This window comes from Homo sapiens, chromosome 15 (assembly GCF_000001405.40).
Source record: "Homo sapiens chromosome 15, GRCh38.p14 Primary Assembly".
NCBI classification, from domain to species: domain Eukaryota; kingdom Metazoa; phylum Chordata; class Mammalia; order Primates; family Hominidae; genus Homo; species Homo sapiens.
The window spans coordinates 26,090,945-26,109,893 of NC_000015.10; the positions used below are offsets into that span (position 1 = coordinate 26,090,945).

The 18,949-nt window shown below is 38.7% G+C and overlaps 1 long non-coding RNA gene across 2 annotated transcripts in view; it reads right to left on the reverse strand.

Moving 5' to 3' along the window:
• LOC105370739 (uncharacterized) overlaps nt 1–18,949 on the reverse strand; it is a 53,368-nt gene that overhangs the window by 1,314 nt on the left and 33,105 nt on the right. The gene's annotated exons all lie outside the window — the stretch shown is intronic.

Below are 18,949 nucleotides of genomic sequence, written 5' to 3' on the forward strand. Positions count from 1 at the left end.
TTAAACATTATTTTTTACTTTTACAGAGCTTCCCATGTAACTTAACATGTCAAATAATCCTGTTGACCTCTTTTAAAGTCTTCAGGGGCCCTCTGTAGCATGTCAAAGTTAGAGGTCAGAAGAGACGATTTTGAAGATGAAATTTGATTTTGGGAAGCCTGTGTAACCACCCAGTGGGTTCACCTTGCCCACTGCCTAGACAAAGCCAATTTATCAAGACAGGGGAATTGCAATCAAGAAAGCGTAATTCATGCAGAGCCAGCTGTGTGGGAGACCAGAGTTTTATTATTACTCAAGTCAGTCTTCCTGAGCATTCGGGGATCAGAATTTTTAAGACCAGCTTGGTGAGTCGGGGGAAGCCAGTGAACTGCAAATGCTGATTGGTCAGGTCCGAGGTGAAATCATAGGGAGTTGAAGCTGTCTTCTTGTGCTGGGTCATTTCCTGGGTGGGGACCACAAGACCAGATAAGCCAGTTTGTCAGTCTGGATGGTGTCAGCTGATCCATCAAGTGCAGGGGCTGCAAAATACCTCAAGCACTGATTTTAGGAGCAGTTTAGGGAGGGTCAGACTCTTGTAGCCTCAGCTGCATGACTCCTAAGCCATAATTTCTAATCTGTGGCTAATTTGCTAATTTGACTATAAGGGCAGTCTAGTCCCCAGGCAAGAAAGGGGTTTCTTTTGGGAAAGGACTGTTACCATGTTTGTTTTAAATTATAAACTATAAACAAAGTTTCTCCCAAAGATAGTTCAGCCTACACCCAGGAATGAACAAAGACAGCTTGGAGATTAGAAGCAAGATGGAGTCGGTTAGGTCAGATCTCTTTCACTATCTCAGTGACAATTTAGCAATGGCGGTTTCACCTATAAAATATGTTAACGGTTTGAAACACTTGATATTATGAAATAGAATTCTAGGTCACCATAAATCATTCATTTAGTCAAAATACTAACTCGAAACTTTTAAAAAGGCAAAAATCTTCACTTATTGATAGAAGGAAGACTTAGCTTTCCAAACCATCTGTCTCTTGTTTTTCCCTTCTTTATTCAGTAGTTTATTCAAAAGGCAAAGTAAAATCTTTCGTTATTGTTTACATGAAACAATTCGTTTTTACGAATTGTTTACATGAAACAATTGTTTATATGAAACAATTTCGTTATTGTTACATGAAAATCTTGTTGAAGAGAAAAAGCCAAGTTTCACCCTTGAATTAGGATACTATTAATGTCAACCCCAATCTTTAATAAAACCTTATAGACAAATCTATTTAATCTTAATCAGTTTGATCATAAGGTGAGATTCTCATAAACCCTTTATAACCCTTTACAAATTTTTGTTAAAGAGCAGATCAGTGCTCTAAGAAAACCCTGTTGAGCTTTTATTCCAATATGTAACTTATGGAAAAACTGAATAAAACCCCTTTAACTTTACTCAGTAAGTTCACACACAGAGTTACTTTTACAAGATTAACTTTTCACAAACCTTCCACAACTTGCTTAAACCTTCAGCTTTATCCTTATCTAACCTAAAACAATTCTTTAACCCTTTAATCTAGGCAAAAATATCCACATTCCCATGACTTCTTATGATCTTTTACTAAAAACACATTTCACTTTCTTTATACCCCCTGCATGTAAAACTGTTCCTTCAGTAGTCTCAATTATATGTTACAATGTTAACACTCAGCAACTTTTTTTTTTTTTTTTAATTATTTTTTTGGAGATGGAGTCTTGCTCTGTTACCCAGACTGGAGTGCAGTCACATGATCTTGGCTCACTGCAACCTCCACCTCCCAGGTTCAAGTGGTTCTCCTGCCTCAGCCTTTCGAGCAGCTGGGATTACAGGCACTCACACCACTCCTGGCTAAGTTTTGTATTTTTAGTAGAGACGGGGTTTCTCTGTGTTGGCCAGGCTGGTCTCAAACTCCTGACCTCAGGTGATCTGCCAGCCTCAGCCTCCCAAAGTGCTGGGATTATAGGCGTGAGCCACCGCACCCAGCCTCACTTAGCAAGTTTTATTTTTGGTGAAAAACCTGGTAAGTGAGCGATTCTGATTATGTACCAAGTCTGGAACCTAGAACACCAGACAGAAGTGCAGATAAAGTCTGACTCTTTCCAGCATAGCCAGGGGCATGGGTAACTCCACTTGTCCCCAGGCCTTATTTAGAATCTAATAGCTCTGAAGCAGTTCAGTCGAACACTTTTCAAAAGTCAAAGCAGTTTATGACCTTAAAGTATTTAGTAAACCTAATATCTGACTTGCCTAATTTAGACCAAATGTCTTTATTTTACCAATAACCTTTATAGCTGTTTCTATTTCCCAAAGATTACTGAAGTCATGTGAACTAAAAAGCATTACATTTTTTACTTTTCTGACAAAATATTTGATTTAAGCACTTATTATTTTTAAGCCAATTAATCAGAGCTCTTTCATATATAAACATCACATGTGCAATAATATAAATACACAGAAAGACAGAAGAAGATCCAGCAGTTGTAAGATTTTTCATTTGCCAGTTTTAAAGTTTCTTAATTGGATTACTGGCTTCATGGTGGAGTCCTTGGAGGAACAGGGCTAGGAAAACACGCAGTTATTTTTTAGGGTCTAATAAACAGGCACAGCTGGAAGGCAAAACAGATCCCCCAAAATACAGGGTTCTATTATCATACTGACTCCTGGATCCCCAAAAGAGAAATGCTGTGGAACAAGACAGTGCAATCATTTTCCTGTGCATTTGATTGCAAAGTAACCCAAAGCTGATCAGTCCATTCTGTGATCAGCCCATCCCCCAGGGGAGTCTTATCTCTCAGCCGGGGTGGGGGCATTTCCATACTTTCTAGCTGGCCGTGAGCATGCTTTTCTGATCCAAATGTGCAAAAAGCTGTGTGTCCCCCATAGTTACCATTAGCCATCCCTAAAATTATATTTAGCCATAGATTTTGAGAGGGATCTATCTACTTTCAATTCCTGGGGTTTCACGAGGAAAACAGGTTTTTCCCAAAGCAGGATCTATGGCACCTCCTCCATTTTCCCCAAGGAGTCCCAAGCTGTTAGAAGAAGTTCTCTTAGATCCTCTCTTGTGTGCATCAAGAGTGGCAAGACAAAATGGAGAAAAGCTATTCAGCCAACTGAGAAGGAAAAAAACCTTTTTTCTCCAGAAAAGAAGATTCAAGAAGAGAAAAAATCATAAAGACCCTTTAAATATATGCGTGGCTTAGATATCTGCTTTTAATTAAGCTGACTTTTAACCATAGCGCTTTTTAAAATTTCTTATTACCCTACTTTAGCCAGGCCAAATGGTGAATATTTCTGGCTTTTAAGCTTTATCAAAACTAACCTCACAGGCAAAACCAGTAAGCCTCAATTAAGGTTCTGACTTAACCACGACTGTATGAGGTATTTTCAAAGAGGTGGTTAGCAGTTTTTAAAAAATCTAGACTCTCCAAAGGTGGATCAGAGAAAGGAAGATTCTACAAGGGAAGCTAGAAATTGTCCATGGAGGGGAAGAAGATCAACAAATGGCCAAAGTTACACAGACATCAAACCAGAAAGGACTCATTCTCTTGGGCCAGAATTGAATCCTGAACCTGGGCCACCACTGTGAAAGGACAAGGTCCTAAGCCTGCGTTCTATCCTAAGGTTCCCCTCTTCATGACAGAATGACACAGAAAGACAAATTCATAGCACAAGGTATACCAGATTCGCTACAGCTTAAGACTGGCCTCACGAATACTTTTGCCCGTTAATTAAAACTTTGCAAGAGAGAGTGATTTTTAACCATTCTAACAACTGGTTTGCAGAGAGACAGAGAAAGACAGAAGAATTGCCTGCAGCAGGGTGGGGAAGGTGAGGAACTCAGGGAACCCAGAGAAAGACCCACCCATTGCAGTGATACTGAATCAGAAGTTCAGGCGGCCACTCGTCGGTCATGAAGGGATCTTTTCCAGCAGTCCCATCAGCTCTCAAGTTTTCCCCTTTGGGAAGGAAAAAGCTCCCCATGTCCAGTGAGCCTGTACATGCCTAATCCTGTCCCCCACAGCCATCAGGAAAAAGTAGAAGGCAGATTAATCCCAATAAAATAGCAGTTAACATCCCATAGTATCAAATCCATTTTTAACCGAGAGGGACTTTACTGAAGGGAGAGCCTCTAACCCATTCCTATCTTTTACCCCGGTAAAATGTACCCCACTACTTTCCCAGAGTCAGCCAGTTGGTGCTACAGCCTATTTCCTTTGGCTCGAGATCACAACTAAGCCAAAAGTTAGCAGATTTAATTTTTTTTAATCAAAGCTTTTATTTGACTTAAGCTTTTTATTTGACTTTCATAAAGTCTTTAAATAAAAATACTGAAATCCATTTAGAAGCTTCTGCCTATCAATAGGCATCTCTAGATGAGACTAATTTGGGAGCCCTCATTTTCAAACGCACTTCAGTGCAGTGTTGTTCATTTGGAACATTCCACTATAAGTTATGTTTAGTAAGATTTCACCATTTCTGTCAGACTTTGTGGCTTCTGGGGCCTAATACTTATGCATGTATAAGCCAGAAGGAACTCAGTTCTTCAGAAATTAAGGATCCCATTTTCACCTAAAATATTGGCTTTCTCTCAGGTACCCTTTATCAGCTTTGCCAATGATTTTTCCTATCTAAGCACTCAAGAAAAATGACACAAAGGAGTAGAACACAAAAATCCCTGCGAATTCCAAAAAGCCAAATTTACACTCCCTGCAATATTGCCATTTACCACCATTTGTTTTTCTGCCCCAGTCAGATGTAAGAGGCCTCTAAGTCAGTTAATTACTGCATCCAACCCAATTACGCACGCAGTGCAGTTTCTGTCACGACTTCCAAACCAAGTTTACATCAGAAATTTGCTCAAAGAAACTCGGAGAGCTCAAAATACAAATCCATGGAGCTTTGGAATCTGAGCGAGATCTTACCACCGCCCCCTGCTGCCCTGAGAGAGCAACGGGCACAAGGAGCCCGGCGGGTCCCTCGCTTGGTCACTCAGTGCTCACGGGGGTCGCTAGAAGCTCTACCTCGATCTGTTCTGACGCCATCTGATAAAAGAAAAACTTCAGCCAAATTAAAGTTTAATTGAGCAATGAATGATTCGCGAATCGAGCAGCCTCCTGAGTCGGAGTAGACTCAGAGACTCCAGCGCAGCCACGTAGTAGAAGATGATTTATGGACAGAAAAAGGAGAGTAACATAAGGAAAATGGAAGTGAGGTACAGAAACAGCTGGAATGGGTACAGCTTGCCGTTTGCCTTATTTGAACATGGTTTAAACAGTTGCCTACATTTGATTGGCCAAAACTCAGTGATTGGCACAAGTGTAGGCTGCCGTCTGTTTACACCTCCACCCGTTACAGTTCACGATGTACAGAGAAACTTTTAGACTGAACTTAAAATATGTAAGGAGACAGCTTTGGGCTAAACTTGATTTAACACCACCAGTCTACCTTGTACACGTTGTTGCAATTCACTTCCCATCCCATAGTATGCTTAGTTAATGCTAATTCTTTGCTTATATCTATTTTCCCCCAAACTTTACTTTTTGAGAAAGAAAAAAAACAGACCAAACTAAACAGGCCTGATGTCTGAAAAGCTGGCCTGGTATTCCCAACTAGACCATCCTGTTCTCCTTGTGCACACACTCAATCCTGCAAACACCAACTTCAGACAAGGTTACTCTGAGGCCATGATACAGTGAGACAAAATAAGCCCATTTCATAATTTTATTTAAGCACAGACAAAAACAAGTTTGCTGTGCCACCCACAAAATACCAAACATCCTTCTCTCTTGGCTAAAATGAGTGACGACAGCTCCTTATCAATTACAATATTTACACTTGCACTAGTCTGGTTTGTCCTCCCCACAGATAAGATTAGTTGAGACACCGAGTGACTGAGTTGCCTCTGCTTTTGTATGATTTCCAAAATAAAGCAAACCCTTCCCTTGAATCTTCCTCAATTCATCAACGTAAGCCCAAATCATATAAAAGCTTCTGACACCTCCTTGCTGAGATGCCATGGTTCTCTGTGGTGTGTGTTCTGCTCACTGCAACTAGCAATAAACCCACCTTGTTCAATCACAAGGGTGCTCCTGGTGTTCTCTGATTCAAAGACACTGATAGAAATAGAAGTTCCTCTGAGATGCAGCTGAGATCCGCACTGCCTCAGACTGGGATGATGGGCTCTGTGTATTAGTCCGTTTTCACACTGCTATAAAAATACTATCCAAGCCTGGGTAATTTATAAATCATAAAGGAAAGAGGTTTAATGGACTCACAGTTCCATATGGCTGGGGAGGCCTCAGGAAACTTACAATCATGGCAGAAGACAAAGGGGAAGCAAAGACCTTCTTCACATGGTGGCAGGAGAGAGAAGTGCAAGCAGGAAATGCCAGATGCTTATAATTCCATCAGATCTCATGAGAACTCACTCACGATCACGAGAACAGCATGGGGCAAGCTGACCCCAGGATCCAATCACTTTCCTTCCTCCATCCGTGGGGAGGACGATTTGAGATGAGATTTGGGTGGGGACAGAGACCCAAAGCATATCATTCAGTGAGGGAGCACGCATCTGCACAGCCCTGCGCCTTGGGTGCCACCTTTCCTGGCTGGGAGGTAAGTTCATGCTACATTGAACTGCTGTATTTCAGTCTAGCCTTTGGGCAATGGGTTTATTTTGTTTTCCTAGGCGTTATGTCCCTTGGGATTTTTAGTTATCAGATCTAATTTGTACTATTCTTTGGCAAAATTGTTTCATGGCACCTAACACCTGCTTGTCTAATGCACCAGCTGTTTGTCTGTCTGCTTGTCTAGTGTCCTGAAAGTTATTTGTCTCTGAGGGGAAAGTTTGTAAGAAGACAGTGTTTCTAAGCCTGAGAGTCCATCATCAAAGCCAACCTCAGAAGAAACTGAGAAGGTTTCTTCTCAGGCCTGTGTTCTATTGGCCCTGGATTACCATTTCAAAATCTTGTAAGTACTTCTTCCTCAGTCTTGCTTTTGTGTCCCTGAGAACTGTTTTTATTTAATTTTGTCTGCTTGGAACCAGGAGATTTTGTCTGGCCCCTGATGGATGACAATGGGTCTTTGCCAAGCTCCAGAGACAGAATAAGACAACAGCCATCGGTAGGGACAGGCTGTAGGTTTCATGACTCTCTTCAAGATACACACACCCCCCTTCAGGCTGAACTGCAGATTTATGTTTTATTACTAGAACTCTTACTCTTGTGCATAGCTTTTTAAGTGGCACAATTTTACCAAAACAATTCAAAACTGCAGTGACCACTTTAGAAAACTGTTTATCGAGTAGCACTTTAGAACAAAAAAGAAAGAAAAATAGTCGGTTCTCTTTACCTGATATGAGGAAGCTTCTAAATCCAATTTAGGCCCCAAATTTGCCGCACTAAGATACTCATTAGCTACAGTTAATGAAAAACATAAGAAACTATCTCTCTAAACAACATCTTTACACAGTATTCAGGATTAGCTACTGCTGACATTTCCAAAGACTTCTTTTTCTGTTATTGTTGTTGTTGATGGTTTGAAGCCACAAATTGCAGACGATTGTAAATTTAAAATTGGCTAAGAAATCACCTTACTGCATGATCTTCACTATTTGACTGAAAATTTTGTAGAGACTTGAGATATTAAAAAGTTTGAAACCCTCATGAGGGAATTGTCTTGCTTAAAAGAAAGCATTTTGTTTAACATGGGAGCTATCGCTACCTTCGTTTTCATCTTTTTCGTGACTAAGTCTGACCTTTTTGATCGGTTGGCTTGATAAAAATTTTAATGATCCCCATTGTGTGGAAACCAGCTAGATGACACTCTTTTGAGTGTGAATATGTCCAAATCTTTCTTTCATACATATAAACTTTCTTTCCTCTCTTTACTAAAACAAGATAGTTAGCTTGGTCTGAAGAGCACTTCCTTTTTTCATTCTGTCACACTCTTATCTCGTGAGAAACTTTACCCATTAACTGATAAAAAAAATTCAGTTGTTGTATGCATATACTCTAGAAAGATTTAACTCAGATAAACAGTCAAAATTGTCTAAAAGAGACAGAAACAAGTTATCAGGCTATGTTTCTCTTTGTGGCTACTGAGAAGTTCATTTACAAGATAGCCTTTGTCACAACAGCTATAAGATAACAATAAGAGGCTTCGGTTTCAAAATAAAAGGAAACCTTGGCATGATTCACAGTCTTCAACAATTAGCTTACCGTAAAAAATGTTAGTACAATACTTGGATTGTTCAAGACCAAGGTTAAATTTCTTGTGCTTCAAATTTCCCACGTCAGCTTTCTAATTTAAATTTCCACTGTTTTCATAACTTGCTTCAAACTAAAAATTATACGTATAAATTTGTATTCAATTGAATACAGTAATAATGATGATGTCGTTTTACTAATAAATTTTAGCTTTAGAATCGTATTGTATGTGCAGAAACATTGTGAAGATAGCACATAGCATTTCCATTACGCCACAGTGGGTTTCCCTGTTATTAATATCTTACATTAGTATGGTGTATTTGTTGCTATTAGTGAACCAATATCAGCACACTATTATCAACTAAAGTCCATACTTTAATCAGACCACCTTAGTTGCTTACCTAATGTCTTTTTTTGGCTCCAGGATCCCATCCAGGATACCACGCTTCATTGAGTGGTAATGTCTCCTTAGATTTCTTTTGGCTCTGAGAGTTTCTCAGACTTCCTTTGCTTTTCATGACTTTGACAGGTTTTGGGTGTTGTTGCCATTGTTGTTTTGAGACAGGGTCTCGCTCTGCTGCCCAGGCTGGAGTGCAGTGGTGCAATCTCAGCTCACTGCAGCCTCGACCTCCTGGACTCAGGTGATCCTCTCACCTCAGCCTCCCAAATAGCTGGAACTACAGGCACGCGCCACCGCGCCACCACGCCCAGCTAACTTTTTGCATGTTTTGTAGAGGAGAAGTCTCGTTGTGTTGCCCAGTCTGATCTCAAACTTCTGGGCTCAAGCAAACCTCCTGCCTTGGCCTCCCAAAGTGCTAGGATTACAGGCATGAGCCACAGAGCCCAGCCAACTTGGACAGTTTTGAGGAGTACTGGTCAGGTATTTTGCAGAATGCCCCTCAATTGGTATTTGACTGATGTTTTCCTCATGATTAGACTGGATTTATGTGTTTTTAATGGAAAGATGGCTGAAGTAAGTGCCATTCTCATTGCATTCTATTACAACATGACTTGCTACTGTCGACCTTAACCTTGATGGCCTGGCTGAGGTCCTGCCTGTCAGGTTTCACCGTTGGGTTACATGGAGCCCACGCTTAGGGAGGCAGGAGTTATGCTCCATCTCACTGTGTGGACTATCTACATGAATTATTTAAGATTCTTCTGCAAAGGAAATTTGTCTATTCTTCTCCATTATTTACTCATTTAATCATTTATTGTGTGCATGTGAGTTTTGGCACTTTTCTTACCTTTTGGCACAATAAAACGTACCAGGCTCATCTTGTATCTTCCCTGCCCCAATCCTAGAATCAGTCATTTCTTCAGGGAGCTTTGGTTTCTTTTATTGGAGAACCGTGTTAGGAATCAAGATCTGTGTGATAGGTGCGCTCATTATTCCTGGGGCATCACTGCTTCTAGGCCCTCTTAACAAAAAGAGTATATACATGTATGTGTGTACACACCCTACGTATGAGTTTGCATTTATAGATACTGCTAGAGATTTTTAAAGTTAAGGAGGTATGTATTCTTATTTTATTAAGGGTTTCATAAAAAATAAATGGCAAATATTTAAAATATATCTTTTCATTTTCTACAGGGATGATGGCTTTTTACATATAAATGTATAAATTATATTAATAACATTGCATTATATTCAGAAAATTATATGAAGAGATTTTCCAGTATTGAACCACACTTGCATCCTTTAAATAAACCAGAACAGGGTTTATTTAATCCTCATGAGGCAGGAGAACAGGGAATTAGGGTAACCAGAGGTTAAGGCATAAGCAAAAGAACAGCAGGTGCAGCCATTTCTAGGCGAGATTAGGCGGCATCCAGGCCACATCTTCACTTCTCTGATAACAAGACAGAAGTTTCCACTTCAGCCTCTGATTCACCGCAGGCCAAGTCTCCACTTCAGGCTCTGATTGGTCGCCAGCCAATCCTTCATAGGGCATAACCAATTGGAGGCCTCTAAAGGGCACCTGGGGGTGTTACCAAATTCTTTTTGGCCTAATAAAAACCCTAAAGAACATTGCAATTGGGTTCTTAAGCATATATATATATATATATATATATATATATATATATATATATATATATATATATATATATATATGCTTATATATTCATATATATGCTTATATATTCATATATATGCTTATATATTCATATATATACATATCCATTTATATATGAAGCTAAATGTGAGTACATACTGATGTCTCCAACTCTAATCTATTACCTATGGGTCATTCTAGCCTGCTTTTGCTTATATGTAACCTCCTCCTTTAACAGTGAGAAACCTGGCACCCACCATTCACCACTCATTTCCTTTTTAATTCCATATAGTGTGTAATAGTTTCAGGTGTGTAAACTCATACTTTGGGAAAAAATTACCATATAGAGTACAGTGCCATGTATAGCTACTTTTACCATTAGTCTTGCAATCTCTACTCATTTCTAAAATTGCTTAGGTCAGCACTTTTCTCCTTAACTCTCTTCAGTGAGGTCCGTCATACATTTGTAAGACTGTTAGATTCTTTTGCCACAGTCCGCATTTCATCCTGAGATTCCCCAAACTCCTAAATGATTTTTTAAAATTTGATGCATTAAAGTTCCCCTTTGTGCTATAAGGTTCTATGCATTTTGACAAATGCATAGTTTCATGCATCCGTCACTACAGTATCACACAGAATGATTTCACTACCCTAAAAAATTCTCTGTGCTTCACCTACCTTCCCTCCCCAGATCCCTGACAACCACTGTTCATTGTCTCTGCAGTTTTGTCTTTTCCAGAATGTCATATAAATGGAATCACATTGTATGTGGCCTTTTCAAACTGGCATCTTTCACTTAGCAATGTGCATTAGGATTCACATGTTTTTGTGTGGCTTGGTAGTTCATTCGTTTTTATCATGGAATAATATTCCTGTATTTCATCTACAGTCTGTCTATCCATTCACCCATTGAAGGACATTTTGGTTGTACCCAGTTTTTGGCAATTTTGGATAAAGCTGCTATAAACATTGTATGCAGGTTTTTGTGTAGACATACATTTTCAAATCAGTTGCATAAATACCTAGGCACACAATGCCTAGATCACATGATGAGACTATGTTTCACTTTGTGAGAAACTGCCAAAATGTCTTTCAAGGTGGCTGTAGCATTTTGCATTTCCACCAGCAATGTATGAAAGTGTTTCTTGCTCTGTATTCTTGCCAGTAATTGACTTCGTCAGTTTTTTGGATTTTAGCCATTCCAGTAGATGGGAAGTGGTATCCCATTGTTTTAATTTGCATTTCCCTAATGACAAATGATGCTGAGCACCTTTTCATATGCTTATTTGCAATATGCTAGGTTCTCTGACTCTCCTCTGATTTTTTGCTTTGTCAGCATTCGATGGCGTCCCTACTGCAGGAAAAGCACAGTCTTGCCTTATGGCACATACGTAATTCCATGTGCCATTTCTTACTCAGCTATAGGCTCTAGCAGGCCAGGCTAGTGCCTGCTAACCCTGATGATCCAATGACACATGGTAGAAACTTCTGAAAACATGTAATTATGAAAATAAATGCCTACCCACACTTCCAACCAGGAATAGCCAACTCAACCGATTTGTTGCAATTCCTTTTGGCCTTCATGGGATTATTTTTTCTTTGTGTTGGACATTTAGTTTATTTTCAACTTTTTCTTATCTAAAATCATGCCGAAATAAACCACATGCTTCACAAATCTTTGACCTCATTTCAGATGAAACCCTAGAGTTAGAATTAACGTGTAAAATTTTAACGCCTTTCAAAGGTTCTTTAATACACATATCCAAATTGTGTTTTCACCAAATTGCTGCCATGTGACTTCCACAGGCAGGGGAGGAAGCTGTTCCTTGCCACGCCCCCACCAGCACGGAGGAGGGGCAGTGGCTTTCATCTTTGTCAGGCTGTCAGCCCCACCTAGTATCCTGTGCTAGTTTTGATGTATTTAATTTATGAGCACATTTGAACATTCTTTATTATGCTTGAAATTAGTTTCCTATAATAGTTTTTGTAAAGTACTCATTTGCGGCCTCAGTGACGATTCACTTTAGTGTGAGTCACAGCCTCAAACTGCTTCTCCAGCTATCTTGGAAACACGTCCTTAGTCACAAAGCAAGACCAAGGGAGGGTGTGGAACACACAGCCCCACCTTCCAGGTCAGCAGAGGCAGATGTGCACCGCAGCCTCTCCATGGCCACCGCTCTGGGCCTTTGTAGCCTCATTTGCAAAACTGGGGGCATCGCCTACGCTTTGCAGAGTTTTGTGAGGATGACAGAAATAATGCATGTGATAAGCTTTCCTCTTTTCAGGCTATTTGCCCAAGATTGTTCGAGAACTTAGCTACTGTGTCCTCTGTCCACTGCTGCGATTGGAGAATACGGGAGGCATGTTACACGGAGGACAGGGTGGAAGGGAGGATCAAGGAAATGGGGATAGGGTCAGACTGTGAAATAGATCTGGGGAGGTAATTTTTGTTTGTTTAAGGACCGATTTGGAAGAAGGGTAGTTTCCCAGAATAAACTTTGTCTTTCTGCCTCAAGAGAGCTTAGTAGTTTGCAAGCTGGCCCACTGCCAGTCCACAGGAGAGGAAGCAGATCCACCCTCCTAAGTGGTTCACTGCTTCTCAGCCGACCCTTCTGACCCAGCAGTGGAGGGCGCCGAGAGCTCAGGAGCAGCCAAAGAAGAGAAGGAACTGTGGCCGTGCGCGGGGGTTCACACCTATAATTCCAGTACTTTGGGAGGCCGAGGCAGGTCATCACCTGAGGTCAAGAGTTCGAGACCAGCCTGGCCAACATGGTGAAACCCTGCCTCTACTAAAACTACAAAAATTAGCTGGGCATGGTGGTGGGCACCTGTAATCCCAGCTACTTGTGGCTGAGGCAAGAGAATCACTTGAACCTGGGAGGTGGAGATTGTAATGAGTGGAGATTGTGCCACTGCACTCCAGCCAGGGCTACAGAGTGAGACTATGTCTTAAGGAAAAAAAAAAAAATTGAATCAGAACCAGCGAAAAATCCTGTCCACAATTTAGCTTAAAAGCAATAAGACTCAAGAGGAGATACAATAGAGCACAAATATGACTTCCCCAATTCTAAATTTTATAGGCAGACTGGAAAAATATTTCACAATGTTAGAACAAAAATGCCAAAGGAATGGAAATAATGAAATTAAAGATGTTGGAAACTGAAAGTAATTTTTGGGACTGTAACCAGCAAATAATTTAGCAGTCCCAAGAGATAAAAATAAACAGCTCCAAGAGAGATAATAACTAAATAATAAAGAAAAATTTCTGAGATGAAGTCTTGAGTCTGCGGATTTAAAAGGCTCACATGCTAGTGAAAAGATTAACTTAAAAAATAATTGAAAAGATGCCTGGACATACCTATTTCAAATTCTGACGTTCCAAGTATAAATTGTTTAAGCTTCAAACTGAAAAAAAGGACTACTTAAAACTACTTTTCTCTGGTAACACTGAAATAACATCTGCAAAATACTGAAAGGAGAGGATTGTGAGCTAAGAACATATCTCCAATTAAAATAGCATTCACTTGCCAGGGCTAAAAATGATACTTTTGAATGTGCATTGATTTAGGTTATATTACCTAACTATTATAATTGAGGAGAATACTTGTGAAAGTTTCTGAAACAGGTAGTGCTTTAATCAGAAGAGAAATCTCAAGACAAGTAAGAAGATTGCTGGCCCCAGCATCTAAAATCTAAATAAATTAATTATAGTTTGATGGAGAACTACTGCTGTATGTTTTAATTGTTTGACTGTTCAGACAGAAGAGAGATATAATGTAAGGACAAACCTATGGGAATACTTAAATACATATTTAAAGAAAACATTAATAAAGAAAAACAAATTCAAGTCTACAAATTTATTGTCCAAAAAAAACTGATATGGGACATTACATATCAAATTTATACCAACAAAATTTGTGAACTTCAAGAATTGAGAAACAATCCCTTTGCATTCATGTATATGATTGTCGCACTTAATTTAAAAAATTATAAACATGACTGGCTTTACATCTTAGATTACTCCATATAAACATTCAGTATTAAAAGGCAGTAGAGAAGTAATTTCAAGTTCTTATGGAAAGGAGGTATAGACAAAATTCTATCCCAAGGTAGAGTCTTTCAGTTATAAAGGCAAGAGGACAAACCTTTACAAATCTGATAGCACCTTTGAGCTGATCCTGAAGAAAGTGCTGAATGCTAATTTCAGCTAAGCAATAGATAAATGGATAAAGCATGTGGAAAAAAGGTGATTGGAATTGACTGAAGCCAATGTGAGAATTCTGATTAGAGAATTAATTTATGATTAGGATAAACATTGCATATCAGAATGCTGATGCTGCAGACGGTGCTGTTGAAGCGCTCCTTCAAAGGAAATAAAAGAAAGGGTAAAAGGTGATTTAAAGATCCTGAAACTTGGGCTGGGTGCGGTGGCTCATGCCTGTAATCCCAGCACTTTTGGAGGCCGAGACGGGCGGACCGAGAGGTCAGGAGATTGAGACTATACAAAATAAAAAAAAAATTAGCTGGGCGTGATGGCACGTGCCTGTAGTTCCAACTACTTGGGAGGCTGAAGCAGGAGAATTGCTTGAACCCCGGAGGCTGAGGTTGCAGTGAGCCGAGATCACGCCACTGCACTCCAGCCTGGACAACAGAGTGAGACTCTATCTCAAAAAAAAAAAACGAAAAAAAGAAAAATCCTGATGCTCTTGTTTTCCTAGCTGGTGTCAAGATAATTTCAAAACTGACAAATAAAATAATAGAGGAATAAGTATTTTTAAACGTTAAAAGTAAACACTAAAATAATAATCAACTAAAATACAGTGGCGTAAGGGAGACAGGAACAGTGTTTGGCAGTGGGAATACACTATGTTCATTGTTACAGCAGGGAAATAATCTGTGCTGTTTGAACAGACAGAGGAGTGAGTTTTGAATAATGGTAAAGCCATAAAGTTCATTGCTGAAATAAAAATTAAATAAAATTCTCCAGGTTGGAAAAAGACACACCAACACAAAAGTAAACACCAGAAATCAAAAATGGAACCACAAAATAAATTATGATAGAATTCACTGAAATTCTACCAAAACCTTAAAAGAACAGGAAGCTGTTCTAAGTCTATTTAAACTACCCAACAGCAGAAAAAGCAGAAAATCTTTTGAAGTATTTAAATAAAATTTACCAAACATGGAACAACAATAAAAAGAACAAAACAGAAAAAAATCAGACTAAGCTGACACAAATGTCAATGCAAAATTCTAGGTAATATATCCCAATTAATAAAATATTTCAGCAGACAATATCGTGTTACCAGATAGAAGGTCTTGACTGTGACTTTTCCAGGTTCTTGGTGTGTTGAACAAAGAAATGAACAAAATGCTCAAACAAAACAACCAAAGGAGGAAGCAACAAAAGACAAAACAACTAAAGAACTGAGTAATGAAAGTACAGATTTACTGACGCAAAAGTACACTCCACAGAGTGGGAGCAGGCTTAAGCAAGCAGCTTGAGATCCCCAATTGCAATGTTCCTTAGGGTTTTTATTAGGCTAAAAGAATTTGGTAACAACCCTAGGTGCCCTTTAGAGGCCTCCATTTGGTTACACCCTATGAAGGATTGGCTGGCGACCAATCAGAGCCTGAAGTGGAGACTTGGCCTGCTGTGAATCAGAGGCTGAAGTGGAAACTTCTGTCTTATTATCGCAGGAGTGAAGATGTGACCTGTATGCTGCCCAGTCTTGCCTAGAAATGGCTGCACCTGCTGTTCTTGTGCTTATGTCTTAATCTCTGGTTACCCTAATTCCCTATTCTCCTGACCCATAAAGACTGACCAATTTCTGGATTATTTAAAGGATGCAAGTGTAGTTCAATACTGGAAAATCTCTTAATATAATTTTCTGAATATAACACAATTTTATTAATATAATTTATCATTTATCTATAAAAATATTATCTCTGTAGATACTGAAAAGAGATATTTTAAATATTTGCCATTTTTTATCAAACCCTTAATAAAATAAGAATACATACTTCCTTAACATTTAAAAATCGTGTGTGTGTGTGTGTGTGTGTGTGTGTGTGTGTAATCTCAAATTAAAGGCCAGTGTCATTTTTAATGAGAAAACACAAGAATCTCTTCCAACCACTAAAATTAGGTAAAAAACAAGGATGTGAAATATCACTACTAGTTAATATTATTTCAAAACTATTAGCCAATGCAAAAAGTAAAAAAAAAAATGTAAAAGAGAAGACAAAGTGGTCATTATTTGCAGATAGTATACTTTATATTTGGAAATTCTAAGAAAGTTACAAGACAACGTTACAAATAGAGGATGCAATCAGCTAATTAAAAATAAAATTAAAACAGAAATATTTGGGTTCATGTGTGCAAACTACAACTATTTAAATGCTTTAATGACAGAAAAAACTATTTTTTAGCAACAATAAATATGTATTTAGGAATAAACTTAATATGAAATGTACAAAACCTATGTGAAAAAATGTTTAAAATACCACTGAGAAGTACAAATCAAGATACTAGCAAACCCTTCTTGGGTAGAAAGAATTAACATCACGATGATATTGATTACCACTATATTAATTGGTATTTTTAAAATAATTTCAATAAAATACCACCAGAATATATTTGCGTGAACTAGACAAGCTCATTAGAAAGCTTGTATTAAAAAATAAACAAATAATAATTGCTAGGAAAATTCTAAGCAGGAGTGATGGTGGAAAAGCAGGTTTATCAGAAGTTGAAATACATTTTTTTAAAGTTAATAATGAAAAGAGTGCGGTGCCTACTCATGAAAGGAAAGATAAATAGAATGGATAGTACCTAAATTGGGTAAAAATTGTAGGGAATAAAAACATGGTGACTGTAGGTAATAACAATGTATTCTATTCTTGAAAATTGCAAAGAGAGTACATTTTAAGTATTCTCACCATGATAAATAATAAGTATGTGAAATAATGCATATGTTAATCAGCTTGATTTAGCCATTCCACAATGTATACATGTTTCAAGGTATGCTGTACTCAATCTATACAATTTTTATTTTTTAATTAAATATGAATATTTAAAAAATTAATAGGGAATAAGTTTATAAGTGGTCTTGGAGAATCTGCATATCCAAATAAATTTACATTTTTCACCAAGTAAACCAGAGATAGGCAAATATTTTTATCTAAAAATCAAAACAAAAAATTAAAATAAAATATAAGAGAATGTTGGTAGGGAGTGGTGAATGCCTTTTAAAATATGTTATAAAAATACAGCAATGTAAGTAGAATGGTGGCTGCCTGGGGCTGGAGGAGGCAGAATGGAGAGTTAGTGTTTAATGGGTGCAGAGTTTCAGCTTAGGAAGATGAAAAAGTTCTGGAGATGGATGGTGGTTAATGGCTGGACAACAATGTGACTATATTTACTACTACTGTATTAAATACATTTAATGGTATGCTTAAACCTGGTTAAGATGGTAAACTTCATGTTGTGTATATTTTGCCATAGTAAATAACACATAGCAGCATAAAACAAAAACTTTGAAAAAATCAATACATACAGCTAAAAAAAATCCTGACAATCACCCATCACCATAAACAAGATCAGAAGACAAATAACTGGGAAAGTTATACACAATTTATATCACAGAAAAATACGGTTTTCCTAACTGAACAAAGAGCTCCTATAACTCAATAAAATCCTCAACCAGCAAACAGAAACATAAAAAAGGATTTTAACCTTTTTCAGGAAAAGAATTAAAAATTGTTCATATCTATATAAATAGTCAACTCAAATGCTCATGCCACTTTTCACCTAGATTATGGAAGATCAAGGTGGGTGAGGGCACGCCTTTCTGGGAAGGGTGCAGGGACCTTGGCACTTGTATATATTGCAGGCAGAACACAATTGAGCCAAAACTACTAGAATGTAAAAAAAAATCCACTTTTTGTCCCAGTGATTCCACTGCTGGGAATGTAGCCTATAGATACACTCAGACATGTGCACATGGTATGTGTGCAGGGGCATTTGCTGTAGCATTATTTGTGGCAGCACAAGATTAGGAAAAATAATTAAATGAAGATTGTGCGGCCACCATAAAGAGTGAAACAGTGAATTAATACGTGATGAAAGCCAAGATTTATTATGAAGTAATGGGCAGAACAGAGTGTACTGTCACCATCTGCTGAAAGTGCACGTGGAGGTGAAGGTTCTAGAAAGATAGATGAGAAACTACTCAGTGAGTGCTCAGGAAAGGAAGTGGGGGACAAGAGACAAGGGCTGTGTGTGTTACATTCTTTCCTTTTGTATTTATTTCCTGTGGCTGCCATAACAAATGATCACAAACTCAGGCCTTAAAACAACCGAAATTCATTCTCTCATGGTTCTGAAGGCTAAAATCTGAAATCCAGGTGTCGGCAGGGCCCGGAGCTTTCTGAAGGCCCCAGTGGAGGATCCTTCTGCCTCTTCCAGCTTCTGGTGGCCTCTGGGGTTCCTGGTTCTGCAGCAGCGTCTCTCCAGCCTCTGCCTCCGTCTTCACATGGCCATCATCCCTCGGTGATCCTCCGGGCGCTTTCCTCTTCTTATGAGGTCCCCGGTCAACGACTTGAGAGCTGATGCTAAATCCAGGATAATGCTATCTTGAAGTTCTAGAATAGTTACAGCTGCAAA